Here is an 18,618-nt window from a genome sequence, read left to right as displayed (position 1 = left end):
ACCCCTCTACTCCACTCCCCTGCCCCTGTTAGCATCAGCGTCTGAGCCCGGCATGAATTTCTGTGACTCAGTCAAAACTAGGTTCAATGTCATAAAACAGTGAGCCATCTAACTGGATTCTCTAAACATCACAGAACTTCTCAGCATCCACTTGAGAAGCTGATGCTCCCTCTGCTGCATGAAAAATTATAAGCCCATCTCCTGAAAACTCACATTACTTTGCCAAGTATAGTTTGAATTCAGCACACACATATCATGAAGAAAGTCACTCGTTTAGAAAAATGCCCACTTAGATATTTAATAAACCTGGTGCTCTAAGAACAAGCTGCAGAGTGCTTTTCCTTCCACCAGCCTGACCACATCCCCTGGCCTTCTGGAGGCTTATGTAGTCCATGAACCCCTCTTCTACCAATCCCGCTCTATAGAAATGCTTTCTGTCCCTATGAGTGAGGTGACTCTGGATTAAATAAGAATTGCATTACAATGAGAAAATGTCAAGTTTTGGCCACCTCAAGTATTTACACTTTTATAGATACAGATAAAAGCCAAGTGCCTACTAAAACACGTTATTAATTTAATTATGCATGCCTATCTAATATTCATGTATAGGAATATTAAAGTAGTTTCGTCCACTCTCCATTTCATAAAACTATTTTACACTAACTTTTTACATGTCCCTTTGACGTGAGTGTCTCCATCATCACCAAGACCCATTTTCGTCATCATTTTACGTCAATCTGAAGTGCTTAAGACACGGGACTTTTTAAGAACCACAGAAAAATTTTTCCCAAGCCACAATCACCCATTTAAATAATATTAGCAGTTTTTTTTAATTAACTGTTATATACATATTCATGATCTTTCATGATCTCTGCAATGTAGCCAATTATTCTATTTTTAAAGTGACTTTTAAAAGGTTTATTTATAATGACATCCAATAATTATGTTCATGCCAGCAAGAAAATGCCAAGTTCATGTTAAATTTCTTTGCTTCTTTTGTATTCATTCTGCCAGGTAACTTCTAAAATCATGCCAAACTAGCATGGAGGTTTCAAGCAAATGTGTTTTTGCATTTCAGATAAAAATGTTATAAGGACTCAAAGAGAAGGTTACTCAGCTCCTGGGGACTAATTTGGGGGGAAATGTGGGAAGTCTACATAAGTGGGTGGTCACATAATGAAGACTAAGTTCCCTTCCTGCACCGGGGGTGGGGGGATGGGAGGTGGGGTTTCCAGGGCTGGTTCCTAAGACCTGCAGAGCAGTTTCATCCAACAGCAGCACAGAACAGGACTGTAAGGGGCGGGGGGTGTGTCTCCCTCACTGAATCCCTCTTGCATCCCCGCACCGAGTCACGAACTCCTGAAGAGATGAGGCTCTAATACCTTTCCAGCACCTCCCATAGCATCTGGCCTTCAGTTGGTGCTGGAAAACATTTGTTGAATGAAAGCAAGTATGAATAAAATCACCAAAGGCTTTAAAAAGGCACAGTACCCAGAAAGAAGTCATGCCTCCCAAATGCCTGTGTGCAGCCTGCAGTGATCCACAATGTCCCACAACTGGACTGTGATACAATAAGAAAAATGGTGAAAAATAATAATAATGGCTTCTATAATTTAGATCTGTTCTCTATGAAGAACTCAGTTCCCTCCTGCTCTAAGAAGGCAAAGAGTTCCTTTCTTTTTCTTTTTTTTTAGATGGGGTCTCACTCTGTTGCCAGGCTGGAGTGCAGTGGCGCAATCTCGGCTCACTGCAACCTCCGCCTCCTGGGTTCAAGCAATTCTCCTGCCTCAGCCGCCCCAGTAGCTGAGACTACAGGCACCCACCACCATGCCCTGGTAATTTCTGTATTTTCAGCAGAGATGGGGTTTCACTATGTTAGCCAGGATGGTCTCAATCTCCTGACCTCGTGATCCGCCTGCCTCGGCCTCCCAAAGTGCTGGGATTACAGGCATGAGCCACCGCGCCCGGCCAAGAGTTCCTTTCTTAAATAAGAGGACAGAGATAATAAACAGCAGTGGGTATTTGTTGTTTTATCCCTAACTGATGGATAATGCAATTCTCTACTGTCTCTTTGCCATGATGAGAACATAAGGTCAGCTGTATATTACTGCCACCTGTACCCCCTGCCCACTGATAGAGCTCCATGCCTAGAATATTGCCTGGCACATACCAGAGGGCTCAAAAGTATCTGGTGGATATAATTTGTTTAGTTGGCACTGATGTGGTTTTTAATATCTACTAGTTCATAAAAGCCTGCTTACTGTTGTACAAAAAGATCGAGGAAGCCACATAATGAAGAAAGCAAAAAGATAAGGATTCTTAACCTCCCTTTCTTCCCCTCCAAATTCCAGGCCCAAGGCTTCTCCATTATTACAGAGGCCAGGAGTTGAGAGGAAGAGGTGAGAATCAAGCTTTGGGAAGACAATGGGCTAAAACGCAGAGATTCAATCAGAGGACAACGAACAAGACAGGAATAAAGGCAAGATTTCCAGTCTTCCATGCCAACCCAGGCTAAGGTGGTCTCAATGCCACAGTAGCTGCCCTGGGCTCCAGAAACATCTCCCTCCCATCACCCAAGTCTTCAGGAGGTAAGATGCCTCAGATTAACCCCCTTTCACAGAGCCAGCTCTGCCCATCAACCAATCCCCACCCTCTTCCTCACATTTGCTGGAGTCTCTGTGCCTTGGTGGGTGGAGGACAGGTGGAGTGAGAGCAGCAGGAGCATCCCTAGGGTAAGACCTACTCTGCATAGAATATCCTGTGAAGTTTGAGCTCCATTCCCTCATGTAAACCCGTTAGAAAGGTATAGCAAAGTACATTTTGTGCAGACATTCACTTGTGTTGTGTTCCACTTGACAAGTGACATAGGAAACAATCAATGGTATCTCAGCCTCCTATTCCCAGGCAGGCAATTGTGCCTTGTTGGACAGAATACTGCATCTGAATGGGGCATTACCAGTGTTGGTATTTTCCCCTGCAGACTACCAAAGAAGCGCTCAGACACCCTGAGGACAGCCACGACCCCAGTATTGCTCCCAAGCCCATTTAGGGAAAGGGCCTTTTTCAACATGCTTAGATTGAATGAGAACCGCTTGCTGGTGAGAGAGGGTCTTTGAACCAGATGTCTTTGCTTAACAAAAATAAGGTCAGAGATTACTATAACGTGGTAACTACAGAACTCTTGAACACAAGCCTGGTAAAGAACATACACACATTTAACTAGAAATGGCTTTATGCATGATCTTCCTAATTGCAATATGAAACAATCACTCACCAACCAAGAATTAACTAATTATGAATCATTAGACACCTGCAATTATAAACAGGAGATTATGGGTGAAGGATTTAAGGATAAAGGAGGTAAAAAAATAACAATTCTTTAATCATCAAATTGCAGAACAATATTAAATAATGGGATTTAGAAGGATTTAGACCCATTACAAATATTAATTTTTTAGGGATAACAAGAGATGGGAAATTATAAATATTTTTACATCCAGAATCTCATCACTACATTTATGACAAGTATCAGCAGCACAATAATGTGATCAGAAGATGTCAAGCAATCCTAACCCTACGTTAAAGCAAGGTAGAGTGGTTGCCTGTAATTTGTTTTCTCTCCTGTGCCATAATATACTAAGGGGGCAGAAAGATTACTCAGTTCTGAAGCTTTAAATGGCTTCTTAAAGATTTTAAGCAAATTTTAATGGGTTTTTCTTTTTCTTCCCTGTATCGCAGGAATTTGTTGGGAAGATTAAAAAATCACCTTAGGAAAAACAGAAAACAGAACTCACTAATCATCTTCCATTTAGCCTTTTATATGAGTAAATGGGGAAATCATTTATAATCACATCCATTATAAAGAATTCAAATTATTCCACTCTGTTTTATTATCTATCAACAGGAAGCATACTTCCTCACTATGAAGTTCAGTTAGTGAGTTTCTTAGATGATTAACTCATATTTTAATAGCCGAAGGGTTTCTCAAATCAAAGCAGTAGGTCAGGAGCAAAAACTAACAAAGCAAAGGGTGGGGAGATCGCTGGCACCCAAGCACGCCCTCAAGGCTCACCAGACAATGCCCCACCAAGGAGCCAGGACTGCTCGTCCAGCTTGGAGGGGTCCTGGGAAGGGAGGGCACCAGGTATTTTACATCTCCTCAAATGCCACAGCAGGTGCATTTTCAAAATAACTTACTGATCTCCAGTTCACTTATTCATTTGTCCAGAAAGTGTTGGAACCTGTGGCATGCCAGGCAAAATGTTCAATGGCCAAGAGCATTGCCCTGCTAGAGAAGACAGATCTGCAAATGACATTTGCCAACATGCCTCCTCTATGTGTTTAATGAAAACATGGTGTCCTTTGCAGAGGACTCTGGGAGTCCAATGGCACAGAGGACAGGCCACCAGGACAAATCTGCAGAAACAAATGGCCTCTGCAGTGGATATAGAAGGCTGACTGCTGACAGGCAGATGTCCTGGAAGACAGGAAGAGAACAGGCCTTCCAAGGAGAAAGATCCCTGCTCACAAAGACATGGAGACAGCAAAGCACAGCATGGCCAGGAAAATGAGCAGTCGTTTTGTGCTTGGGGCTGTGTACAGAGACAAGAAGGGAGCCAAGGGAGTGTGAGGAGGGAATCGGGCTCCCCAGGGCTAGGTGTGGGGCACGGGGAAAGGAGACGAAGGCCCAGGGACAGGTTCTGTCTCCTTCCCCTCCAGCCAGACAGTTGCTGTCACTCTTGATCCTCCCACATAAGCCTCTGCAACCCTGATATGGTTTGGGCTGTCTCCCCACCCAAATTGCATCTTTAATTGTAGCTCCCATCATCCCCATGTATTGTGGGAGGGACTCGGTGGGAGGTAACTGAATCATGGGGATGGGTTTTTCCCATGCTGTTCTCATGACAGTATGATAGTGAATAAGTCTCATGTGATCTGACGGTTTTATAAAGGGCAGTTCTCCTGCACACGCTCTCTTGCCTGCCGCCATGTAAGACATGCCTTGGCTACTCCTTCACCTTCCGCCATGATTGTGAGGCCTCCCCAGCCATGTGGAACTGTGAGTCCCTTAAATTAAGCCTCTTTTTCTTTATACATGACCCAGTCTAAGGTGTGTCTTTATTGGCAGCGTGAGAATAGACTAATACAAACCCAGACCCGGGCAGACACCAATTCTCAGGACCTGGACAGACTGAGTATGGCTTAATATTTCTACTTACATAAGAAGGAGAAGATGACTGTGAGAAAGGAAAGCGTTTGTTTCCTGAGTAAGGAAATGGTTCCTGCCAGGAAAACCTCTTCTTTGTTACTACAATTAACCTTCCCCAGCCTGAGGCGCCAACAGTCATTCATGGTAATAGAAAATAGGAACTAACATGACAAAATCCTGTAGTTTAGGGATGGATCAGAGAGGAAGTCAAAGAGGAAAGGAAAGCAGGGCTCATGTTCACCCTCTTTGAGGTCAGCTGCTTTCGCGTGAAGAACCACCACATGTATGAGCATCGCCAGGGGCCAGCAAAGGGAGATCACTGGGGTGGCGAAATGTTCCAGCTCTTGATTACGGTGGTGACGAGAGGACATTTGGGACATTTTCAAAATGATCCAAAATCAGATACTTCAAATGGTTCTATTTTTTTGTTCATATAAATTTTACCTCAATAAAGGTGATTTTTTTAGAAAGAACTCGTAAGGGCCACGATTCTATTTGTCCACGGCAAGACAGAAGAAATAAAGAGACTGCCTGTTCTGAACCAGGACACAGGCATTTTCCCCTAGCCTTGAAATCAGGCCAGGAAATCCACAGCAATTGAAGCCACCATTACTGGGGAGGAAACAACTAAGGTTATTTGCTTATGACAGGGCAGAGACTCACCAGGAAAGAGATGAAAGCGGACAGAGGAGTGAAGACAGAAACACACAAGAAACACACTGACCCTTTGGGTTGGATTTCATGTAAGGAGGGGACCCAGGGGACACACCACATTCTCAAACTTGAGAACAACAGAAGCATTAAACGTATGAAAGGTCATTGTCTACTCCTAAAGGCAGGAAGTCTCAAACAGGCAAAAAAAAAAAAAGCCCCACATACAGGGTCCACAAATTAATAGGCAAGAATTATTACATGTCCTCTGCAGAGGACTCTGGGAGTTCAATGGCACAGAGGACAGACCACCAGGACAAACCTGTAGAAACAAGTGGCCTCTGCACCAGGTATGGAATGTTCCAAATCAGATACTTCAAATGGCTGCATTTGAAGTAAAACCGCCAGCAGTCCCTTCCTCCAAGAAGGTGAACATCAGCTGATAACTGCTCATCTAAGAAAATCGTTCTATCTTCTAATAAAAGGAAATAAAATGGATGGGTCTTACAGTCTCTGAAAATAGTATTTATTTTGCCAAAATACAGCACCATGGGTTCAGGAACATTTCAAATAGAGATGACATAATTAATTCATAGAGAAAGCAAAACCTCATTTAACTACCTTGGAAGGTCAAGAAGGTTGAGAGCAAGATCACACCAGGCTCTGAGGAGGTTAAGAAAACAATTATGAGCTAACGACTACACACTGGGGGGCGGAGAGTACAGAGGCAAATTGCAGGGTGGCTAACTCGGCCCTCGCTTATGACAAATAAAAGACCAAAGGTGTCATTTTAAAATATTAAATTATTGAACAGGAAAGTCAAAATTCAAACACAAAATAAATAAAGCTGATTTATAATAGCCTGGCATTCAAGACAGGCTGAGAGGCAGACTCAGGATCCACTGTGATAGATAATTTTAAGTACCCAGGCAAGGTTTCCTTCCTCCTCCTAGAGCCTGTTCAGCTCTGCACGATGTCATGAGCCAGGTGTGCCAGGAAATACCCAAAGGACCACAACCACACTACCCCAACAGCTCCAGGCGACGTGACATTTTCTGCTTGCAATACAATGTGACTGCAGTGAAGCAAACCTCAGGAGGGCTGGATATTAAATAGTAATTACAATACAAAAGCAAATATCAATCAAACCCTGGGGTACAGGAGGGGGTCGGCTATGGGAGGGGACAGGTCAGTGAAAAGTCTGAAGAATGATAAATTTCCAAAAGATGAAATGCTACTCATTTTCAAAGGAAATTTTTCAAAGGAAATTATCAACCCAGCTTAGCATGATATTGGCAAGAACTCAGAATGTCTCATCCAGAGGGAGACTTGGAGTCCATCAGTTCTAAACTCCTTGGTGGAGATCTGGTGGAAATGAGAGTTAAGAAGGACTCATACATACTGTGGTACCTGAAAAGACTTAATTCTCCTAGGAAGTATGAGCATGCCATCAATGACTTAATCCTGTTTATATTTTTGCATTCCTCTCGCAAAGCCTCATTTTCCTAGCTGTAAGAGGTGAATGGCAGCCCAACCACTATGCTAATTACCCCAAATTATGAATAAGGAGGATATAAATGAGACCTTGCTCCACTGAATTTAACACAGTCAAAAAAAAATGAGCTAGGGAAAAGATTTATTTATTTATTTTTTATTGGGACAGAGTTTCATTCTTGTCGCCCAGGCTGGAGTGCAGTGGCGCAATGTTGGCTCACTGCAACCTCCGCTTCCCAGCTTCAAGCAATTCTCCTGCCTCAGCCTCCCGAGTAGCTGGGATTACAGGCATGCACCTACACGCCCAGCTAATTTTTGTATTTTTAGAAGAGAAAGGGTTTCACCACATTGGTCAGGCTGATCTCGAACTCCTGACCTCAGGTGATCCGCCCTCCTCGGCCTCCCAAAGTGCTGGGATTATAAGCATGAGCCACCTCACCCTGCCAGGAATAGACTTTTACATATCACACAACTGGTGTGCTAATTCTGAGAATGATTAAAAGACAAAGGAACAACACTTCTAAAGACTGACTGCCACATGACACACTCAACAGATTTTTTTATTAGTCTGTCTCTATGCACACTTAAAAGAAATTACTTCCCAATGCAAGCAAAGGTGAGCACTTTGCCCTTTTCAGCCTATGCAAGGTTTTCCTTGATGTTCACTGCCTATTTTAAAGAGGTAACCACTTTGTTTGGAGAGAGAGAAGGATTCCAGAGAGGAAATGCAGACAGAATTGCAGAACAGAGTTTAAATCTCTTCCTTTCTTGATGGAAACAAGAAAATACTGTGGGATAGAAAGTTTCAGTCTGAAGGAGTCAGAGTTGCTGAGGCAAATGGGATCAAGAGGTTCAGATTCCAGACGGGAGTATGGAAGAAATATACCCAACACCACCGGTAAATGCATCCAATGTTCAGAGACTGGTGATGGAGATGTTCTTTAATCTGGTGCAAACATGCCAGTGTGGGTTACATGAGTGTCAGCATTTGTCAAACCTGATTAAGCTGCATACTTCAGATTTGTGCCTTTCAACATCTATAAATTTATCCATCAATTTATAATTCAGCTGTTTTATAAAGGGATTATTAAACAAACAAAAAGCAAGGGATTAAATACTCCAAATAAAAGACATAGGTGGTCAGATTGGAGAAGACAAAAACAACAGCAATATACCGCTCCCAACACGCTGTCTTTAAGTATGAGAACAAGGAAAGGCAGACAGAAAAAGGATGAAGAGGAGATTCCATGTTTGGTTTTCCATTCCTGAGTTACTTCGCTTAGAATAATGGTCTCCAACTCCATCCAGGTTGCTGTAAATGCCCTTAATTCATTCCTTTTTATGGCTAAGTAGTACTCCATCATGTTCTTTATCTACTTGTTGACTGATGGGCATTTGGGCTGGTTCCACAATTTTTGTAATTGTGAATTGTGCTGCTGTAAACATGCATGTACAAGTATCTTTTTCATATAATGACTTCTTTTCCTCTGGGTAGATACCCAGGAATGGGATTGCCGGATCCAAAGATCAGTATCTTCTACAAATACATTGCGCATACACAGAATGTCATGTTATGACACTCTCGCCTCTTCAGCTGATGGAGGCAGCCTGAATGCAGAGGAGGTACCAACCCCAGAATCTCCCAGGCAGCTGAGTGGAAAGGAGGTACCAGCCCTAGAATCTCCCAGGCGGCTTCCTGGGATGCAAGGTTGCCCCACACCCCCAAAGGGGCTCCTTGTAAGAGCCACAAAACTCTGAAAGCAGACATGCAAGTTTCCAGGAAAGCTTCTGAATTTTTCCCATGACAAAAATAAAAGAACTAATAAAAAAATTCTATAAGATAAAACTTTTAAGAACTCAGGTTATTTACATACTAAGAGACCCCTGGAAAAATAATGCCCATTTCTCCTCCTATGTCTTCTCTGGAAGATCTTAACCTTTATTTAAAACATAAATAAAATAAATAAATAAATAAGCCCATATGTCAATTTCCAGTGTGTCAGCTCAGGATCTCTAATACTGCCTCTCATTAGCACAGCACCTCCTCGTCCAAATTCCTTTTCTCGGCTCTGAATACCAGGGGTGGAACGAGGCTGCCTGCCTCCACTCCTGCCCCTGGGCTCCCAAGAGAACAACCCATCCCCACCACCTCCTTCCACTGTCCTTCTCCCTCCCATCCATACCCTCCTGCCCCTCCATGGAATGCTCCCCCATCTCAACTCACACCCACCCCTCAAAGCTCAGGGCAGTCCAACCTGCTCTGAGGAGGCCTTAACTGGTGGTTTCAGTGCACTTGCCACTTTCTTTAGGTCCTTGTCTTGCCTGCAATCTCTCGTCTGGACACCCAATGATGCAGTGATGTACCACACAATCTGTCATCTATTTGGGGGGTCGAATACCTGGTTTCCTCTCCTGCAGTCAGAATCCAACATCTTCCACTGTACATTCCTCATGGCATCTGCCCAGTACGAGTCCATAACTGGCACCAAATAAGCACTTAATATGCTATAAAGTCGAGTAATCCCACCCACCCATGCCATCCTTGAATCCATGTGAAAAGCGCACGTATATTAAAACACTACCCTTTCCAATAACATCCACAAAGAGGCCCATGTCTGGAGAAGCCAACCGACATGAAGCAGTGCTGGAGAAGTACTTAGCACTGCTTTCTTGGTAAGAACTTTTTTTATTTTTATTTTGAGACACAGTCTCGCTCTGTCACCTAGGCTGGAGTGCAGTGGTGCAATCTCGGCTGACTGCAACCTCTGCCTCCTGGGTTCAAGTGATTCTCCCACCTCGGTCTCCTGAGTAGCCAGGATTACAGGAGCCCACCACCACGCCCAGCTAATTTTTGTATATTTAGTAGATATGGAGCTTCACCATGTTGGCCAGGTTGGTCTCAAACTCCTGACCTCAAGTGATCCACCCACCTCAGCCTCCCAAAGTGCTGCGATTACAGGCATAAGCCACCGCGCTCGGCCCTCGTAGTAAGAACTTAATTAACAACAAGCAAGCTGACCTCAGAGAAATTTAAGTTACCCTGACATTTTCTTTCAAGAATCATCCTCCTTGCCATTCGCACAGGGCATCCAACCCCTAATCACCACACTCTCAAGGGCTTCTGGCACCTCCCTGCCTCTGTTCTCAAAGGCCTGCAGACAGCAGTGAAACTCCAGGCAAGAAGGCAGGAGCAAAATGCCAGAGGTGCTTAAGAATTCCTGCACCCCAGGGACAAGCAGGGGCCCCCAACATGGAAATGCCACCAGGAGGAAGAAGGAAGGCACAGGCCCTGGGGTAGATGACGGAGCCCCCCTGTCAGCCCTGGGCAGAGATGGGGCTGAGGCCAGGCCTGGAATGGAGTCTTGGGTTTCAATGGAGCAGCTCCACCAATGAGGTGGGAAGGCAAGGATTCCAGAGGAGCTGAGCAGTGAGGAGAAATCAGGGTGCTGGGGTGGGGGATGCAGCTGCATATGCTGCAGGAACCCTCACCACTCCCTGGGGCACACTCTGCCTTTCACCTTGAATTCCAAGGTCCTCACCAAGGTTTACGCCACGACCCGTTTTCTGGTTCTTGGTATTTTCTTTTCTTTTTTGAGACAGAATCTTGCTCTGTCATCCAGGCTGGAGTGCAGTGGCGTGATCTTGGCTCACTGCAACCTCTACCTCCCGGGTTCAAGCGATTCTCCTGCCTCAGTCTCCTGATTAGCAGGGACTACAGGCGCCAGCCACCACGCCTAGCTAATTTTTTGTATTTTTAGTAGAGACGGGGTTTCACCGTGTTAGCCAGGATGGTCTTGATCTACTGACCTTGTGATCCGCCCACCTCGGCCTCCCAAAGTGCCGGGATTACAGGCACGAGCCACCGTGCCTGGCCGATATTTTCTTAATGGATCTTTGCTGATCATTTTAGTTGAGGTTTTGGTGTCACTTGCTGTCAGGAAGTTCTCAATTTATCAGCAACTCCTTGGATGCTGATTTGACTCAACCTTTGCACCCCTCTGTGTAAGAAGGACATATTACCTGTGCACATAGCAAGATGTCCACACACTGGGTGGAGAAACACAGCACAGAACAGTGCTGGCCACGAGTGTATCATCAGCTCACTCAAAAACACACATAAGACCCACGTAGGAAGAGAAAGTTTTGTGAACCATCATAAACTTCTCAAACACTGGTAAATAATAAAAGTATAAAGTGCCCTAAAATAACACACAGGAATCTAGCACTCAGCCTGGGCAACATGGAGTGATATGGTTTGGTTCTGTGTCCCCACCCAAATCTCATCTCAAATTGTAATCCCCACGTGTCGGGTGAGCGGCATGGTGGGAAGTGACTAAATCACGGGGGCAGACCTCCCCCTTGCCGTTCTCATGACAGTGAGTTCTCATGAGATCTGATGGTTTAAAGTGTGTGTCACTTCCCCCTCCGCTCTCTCTCCTGCCGCCATGTGAAGAAGGTCCTTGCTTCCCCTTCGTCTTCCTCCATGACTGTAAGTTTCCTGAGGTCTCCTAATCATGCTTCCGTTAAACCTGTGGAACTGTGAGTCAAGTAAACCTCTTTTCTTTATAAATTACCCAGTCTCAGGTAGTTCTTTATAGCAGTGTGAAAATAGACTAATATATGACGAAACCATATCTCTACAAAAATTACAAAAATTAGCCATCTGTGGTGGTGCTGGCCTATAGTCCCAGCTACTTTGGAAGCTGAGGCGGAAGGGTCACTTGAGCCCAGGAGGTCAAGGCTACAGTGAGCCAAGATTGCACCACTGCACTACAGCCTAAGTGACAGTGAGACTCGGTCTCAGTACGTCAATCAAATCAATCAATCAATCAATGAAAGAAAAACCATGAAAAAACTTGATGGCCACCTAATTTCCCAGACATAACAACTCTCCTTTTTTTTTTTTTTTTTTTTTTTTTTTTTTGAGACAGAGTTTCGCTCTTGTTGCCCAGGCTGGAGTGCAATGGTGCAATCTCAGCTCACCACAACCTCCACCTCCTGTGTTCAGGCGATTCTCCTGCCTCAGCCTCCCAAGTAGCTGGGACTACAGGCATGCACCACCAAGCCCAGCTAATTCCGTATTTTTAGTAGAGACAGGATTTCTTCATGTTGGTCAGTTGGTCAGGCTAGTCTCGAACTCCCAACCTCAGGTGATCCACCTGCCTCAGCATCCCAGAGTGCTGGGACTACAGGTGTGAGCCACCGCACCCGGCCAAACACCTCTCCTTTTAATCTTCAATAGGGATCATATAAAATGTTTAATGTCAGAATGTGTATTTCTTGGAATTATATGAAAATGTCCTTTTCAAAAATCAACGAGACTTGTGTCACGTTTCACCTAATCAAATGAGGACTACTGTTCTTTCTTAATCATTTCACTAGATAGAAGACAATTTGTGATTTAAAAAATAGTGATGCTAAGAATTACTATCTAAAGGTGACACAGGCAAGAAGAAAACCTACTTTGTTTTAATAAGATACACTTTTTATAGCCCCTTTTTTCTTCTACCTCTTTGCTAATTCAATGTACCATATTGAATGTATAGGATTTCCCAAGGGAAAAATAATTCTACTTGAATTATAAAAGTGTCACATTCACAGTTCATGGAGAATAATACTGTTCAGCTTCTAATCAAAACTATATTGCCTGGCACAGGATTCTAAATAAAGCCAGTGTAATGCACAAATTTAAAATCTGACTTGAGTGATGTCATGAAAAAAGCACTGGGCTGAAGAACAGAGAACTGGGGTCTGGTCATCCCACCTAGGACCCCTCTGTTCCTGGGCAAGTTCCTGAAAAAAACTAAAGATGTGACTTTCTAACCTCCTAATTCCCTGATTCTTGATGTTGACTATTTGGGTGCTTGAGAAATCCAAACTCATATAACTCCATGATTTCATCAATACATACACAAAAGTAATTTATTCTATCATAAAATTCTGCAAAAACAATTTTAATGAAATTTTGCAAGTATTCAATATAACAGAGCTAATGATTTTTTAAGCTCACATATGAAATATTCCTTTTTCCCTCTTGATAATGCTATAGTGGTAGTTGACATGTTTCTCAATAAAACGTTTCCTGGGACATATTTAAAGTCTGCTCTCCTCCCAGGCCTTGGTTTGGGCTACTTGGCATGCTGGCAGAACACCAATCCTAAATGAAGCTTTTAACTACCCTTTCCATCACCTCAGCAGACAGCTCCAAAGAATAGCTGCAAAACCCATTTCACAAAGTCGCCAATTTGCACTGGCTTCAGCTGCATTTACAAATGTCCCTTCAGCCTTCCTGTGAGTCCTCTCATCCCTCTTTCTCCATTTTCTGCATTATGAAGCTCTACTTCTGTTTCAACTTCACAGTCTTTTCCTTTCAGGGATAGCCTCCTGCTTAAAAGAAGGTTAACGATGGTTCTGTCTGAAGATTAACATTGCCTTAAAGAGGGAGACGGTCACTCTGTGTCCTCGAAGACTATTAGACAAAAAAGAAAATTGCAAGCCTCTGGCTACTGGCAGCCACTTTTCCCTCAAATGGAGAGAAATAAATACTAAGCCAAGAGGAGGATACCTTCTAAATCCTAAACTCACTCATGCTTAACACTTGGACTCCCAAACTACATGAATCAATTAATTTCCTTCTTTCTAATGTGAATTGGAGTTGGGTTTCTGTAATTAGACTACTGGAGCTTTCCAGCAGACTTGAAGTCGAGTAGTGCCAGTCCTCTGACTTTGTTCTCCATAAATATTGTGTTGATTATTCTGGGTCTTTTGCCTTTCCACATGAACTTCGGAATCAGTTGGTCAATAGCCACAAAAAAACTTGCTGGGATTTTGATTGGGACTGCAGTGAATCTGTAGATCAAGTTGGGAAGAACTGAATTCTTAATGTTGAGTCACCTATAAGCATGCAATACCTTTCCTTTGATTTAGATCTTATTTGAGGTTTATGCAATTTGCAATCAAAATAGGCCTCAATGCTGCAAACTTAAAACTTAAAACATAAAAAGAATCTACAAACACCTACGGTGAATGCATTTATAAATGCCACATCGTAAGTGAAGTGCAGATGAGCGTTTGCAGGCCTAGTATCTTCAGTTCACTTGAGAAGACCTTGTTTAGACTGGTCTGTTCTAAATGCTGGTATCTCTAGGAAGGGGTCCTAGGGACAGGTGCATTTGAAGAAGCCAGACAAGAGCCAGTGGATGTGGGATATAAATGTTTCCATCAATGAGTCAGCTATTAAGACGCACAGACTTTGCATGATGATGTTCTCTGCCCGTCCCTTTAGAAAGCTTTCTCATTATTTTTAACAACCACCATGGCAGTGCTGGGAGGATCCTAAGAGATAACACGCATCAAAGTCTTTGGTGCCTGAGAGTACTGCACGAACAGAAGGGATTAGGATTACTTCATGCTCCACAACCCCTCTGGACAAAAGTGGCAGCACAGTTCTCTCCAAACCATACGAGAGTCTGGGTTTGGCATTTTCCTCTGCTGTATTACATATCCAAGCACCTCATGGTGACTACCTTTGTATCAGCACCTTCTTTGAACCCCTAAACTACTTCCAATGCCCCGATATACCTTGTCACCCTGACCTTTACTTTTTCTTAAAATGAGTGACTACAATCCACAATGATAATTTTATGTCTGTGATTTGCTTAAAATCACATATTGCAACTATGCAACTATACACATAGGGGATGGTTACTGAGTTCACGCCTGCCTTGCTCACTCCAATGGAACCACCATGAGAATACAGAGCGTATCTGTGTGATTGGTGCTGTAACTCCTCAGTGCCTAGCACAGTGCCTGGCACACAGGAGAATGAACATATGATTGAAGGAATTTTTTAAACAGGTGAATACATAACTCAACAATGAGGTACTAAGCATAACTCTGAGACCTGCTCACTTTCAGAGAAATGCTGAATAAATCCTGACCATGATGGAGGAAGGAGAAAGGGGCTCACTGGCACCTTGCATGTTGGCAGCAGGCAGAATCCAAGACCGAGGGCACAGATGTGGGAGGAGCACCTAACAAGAGAGATCTCTGAACAAGATCAGGGGTGGGAGAAGAAAATAAGTTCAGGTTCCTGAGCACTGAAGCCACCATGGCCAAAGGAGAGATTTTCCACCAGTGAGCATCATTACTGGGGACAAGGCAGGAGGGATGGCAAGCAAGTGCCTAGAATTCTGCAATCTCAAATTAAAGCATTGTCCTCTAACAAGTGGCAATGTGAAGGAATCAACATGGAAAAATGGATCATAAAATTAAAGAAAACATAAACACACACTACTTATCAATGAAATAATTTGTTGCAGGCTTAAAATGCTAAAAGCAACACGGTAGTATTCAACAATAGAAAAATTAATTTGAGGAAAAATCATTTGATTAAGCAAATGATTGCACATCAATTCAGGCACATGTTCTGAACTGGCATACAGCCATTACAATTACAACTACACATTAATAATGGAAAGGTGTTGTGATAAAATGATAAAAAAATCAGTAAACCAAAAACTACGCAGGTTGCAAGCATAAACATTTTGATGGGCATGCACTAGAATTGGAAGAAAACCAATAGAAATACTTGGTTTGCTGAAGAAACGGTGGAAGAGAGATGATTTTCATTTCAGCTACTGTTGCATTTCTGCAAGGTAGTGCTACTGCTGCATTTCTGCTACTGTTGCAAAGTACTGTGCACAGTATAAATGTGGGTGGAGAGGTGCTCAAGGAAACAAGTGTATTTATCCAGACCTCTCCTGATTAATTCTTGCCTATGTGAGTGGTATTGTTCCCTCCAGAGCGGGCAGGAAGAATCCTAGGAAGCAACCAAGAAGACTGGAATGCTGCAGCACCTGGTGAGTTCAGATCTCAGCCAGACTACCCAACCCTCTGCAGGGCCACAGACCAGCAAGCAGTATAGTGAAATGGGGAGCATTTGGACCCACAGGTCCTCTAAGAGCAAGCCATAAAATATTTTCTTCACTTCCCTCGTTCCTTCTTCTGCTGAGTCTTTCTTAACATGACACACTTGCAAGTGTGTCATCATCTGTGTGTAGGGCAAACTTATCAAATCAAAATAGTCCAGAACGTCAGACAGCTGAGGGCAGGCAGCCTGAATGAAGCCAGCCTTGAAGGCTGCAAGAACTGAGACCAGGTGCCCTACCCACAAACACTACTGCTCACACAGCAGCTGTCTGTGCAAGGCGAGGCGTGGCCACTTCTGACTCAATATATGGCCAGGGACCCACAACCTTAGCATCAGCTGGGAGTTGATTATAATGAAACATCTTGAGGCCCCCTCCCTACAGAGTCGGAATCACATTTTAACAAGACCTCCAGGTGACTCATGTGCACACTAGATTCTAAGAAGTTTCCAGTCCTGCAGCTCCCATGTCAAACTGACTGTGGGTGCCTGGCTAAGGACCCACTTCCTCTCCAGTCCTTTGTTCACCACTGACCTGCCAGTGAACTCTACACTGACGTCCACGATGACGTCTACCGTGGGTGAAACTGTGTCCTTCAAAAGGTTACGTTCAGGCCAGGTGCAGTGGGTCACACCTATAATCCCAGCACTTTGGGAGGCCGAGGCGGGCAGATCACAAGGTCAGGAGTTCGAGACCGGCCTGGCAAATGTGGTGAAACCCTGTCTCTACTAAAAATACAAAAATTAGCTTGGCGTGGTAGTGGGTGCCTATAATCCCAGCTACTCGGGAGGCTGAGGCAGGAGAATCGTTTGAACCCGGGAGGTGGAGGTTGCAGTGAGCCGAGATCACACCACTGCTCTCCAGCCTGGGTGACAGGGCGAGACTCCATCTCAAAAAAAAAAAAAAAAAAAAAGGGCTAAATTCAAGTTCCAACCCTTGGGACCTGTGAATGTTTTGGAAACAGTCTTTTTTCAGATATAATCAAGTTGACCTGAGGCCACGCCACAGTAGAGTTGGCCCTGAATTTAACAACCTCATAAGAAGAGAAGAGACACAAAGACAGACACACAGGGAGAGTGCTGCGTGAAGACGGGGGCAGAGACTGGAGCAAGGCATCTGCAAGTCAGGAAATACCAAGGATCACCAGAAACCTAGAGAAAGGCACAGAACACATCATCTCTTGGAGCAGCCAAAAGGAACCTGCCCTGCCGCCACCCTGATTTCAAGTTTCTAATCTCCAAGGCTCTGAGAGAAGAAAAAAACCACTGTTTTAAGCTACCAAGTTTGTAGTATTTTGTTAGAGCAACTTCCAAACTTGGCCTACTCACCTCCTCGACTCTGGGACCTCCCTCTCTTCTCTTTGTTGCAGGAGAACTCTCCAGAAGGCCTGGCCTGTTGCTGATTCTCAACAAGTGTAGTCCTTCCTGTCATGGTTGGCTTCACCTGAGTTGCCAGCCTCAGCTGCCCAATATTCTAATTCAACAAGTCTGTCTCCATACAGACAATGTGACCTAGACGGTCCTCATTCAAACCACCGCATCTGTGTCCCCACGAATGATGAGAGACTCTCAAATAGATTCCTGACTCATGCCCATGACATCCTCAGATCAATTAACACCATCAGTGCACCCCCTCCTCCACTCAAAATCAAGAAGGTGAAAATATTTTATTACTTGCTCTTGGGAAACCCTTCTGACTCAAAATACTCCCAAATTTCTTTAAGCTGCTTGCTGGTCTATGACGGTGCCAACATCTCATTGGTTGGTTTGCTCCAGGCCCTGATTCGTCAGGTCAGAGGGAGTGGAACGCACCGGAGTTCTCGTCTCCTTACCTAACTTGGCCAACAATCCTGTACCAAGAAACACAAAGGTCACAGAAGCAGGTGGCTTCTGAGAGAGGGAAGTGGCTCCCGACTCATCCACCATGGCAGCTGCATAGCCCAATGACAAGAAGCATAGAAGGAAGTGGAAAAGAAACAGACGGGAGCTCTAGTGGAAACCAAGGCAGGGCAGACACACGGCGCCAATGAAAGAAGCACAGAGTCATCACCCAGGAATCAAGCCCTAATCGCCTTGATCATGACTTTCATCGGACTTTAGAGCATTTGAAAATCTGGATGCCTCAGAGCAAACCAGATGGAGCAAGGCCTTTGCCATAGACAGAGAGGTCAGCCAAGCACTGTTCATGAAAACTGAAAACTAGAAACCAGCTATGTGCCCTCAAATGGAAAACTGGTTAAGTAAGTTATCATACAGCCATGAGGCAATGTGTAACCTTTCAAAATGTGTGCTTGAAAAATACTGAAGGACACAGGTAGATATATACAGAAAAATG

General features: G+C 44.0%; 1 protein-coding gene across 24 annotated transcripts in view, besides 1 other annotated feature; it reads right to left on the bottom strand.

The window, feature by feature from the left end:
- DOCK1 (dedicator of cytokinesis 1) overlaps positions 1 to 18,618 on the bottom strand; it is a 547,089-nt gene that overhangs the window by 365,069 nt on the left and 163,402 nt on the right. The window lies entirely within an intron of this gene.
- Positions 15,913 to 17,112: an enhancer, noted in NCBI's record as "BRD4-independent group 4 enhancer chr10:128868600-128869799 (GRCh37/hg19 assembly coordinates)". NCBI's record gives its function as "activates an origin of replication core promoter dependent on BRD2, P300/CBP, MED14 and CDK7 cofactors, and independent of BRD4, by STARR-seq in HCT116 cells {active_cell/tissue: HCT116}" and the evidence as "EXISTENCE:reporter gene assay evidence [ECO:0000049][PMID:35650434]".

This window comes from Homo sapiens, chromosome 10, assembly GCF_000001405.40.
Source record: "Homo sapiens chromosome 10, GRCh38.p14 Primary Assembly".
Classification (NCBI taxonomy): domain Eukaryota; kingdom Metazoa; phylum Chordata; class Mammalia; order Primates; family Hominidae; genus Homo; species Homo sapiens.
Note: the sequence above shows the minus strand (reverse complement) of the source record. Positions and strands in the feature narration are given on the sequence as shown.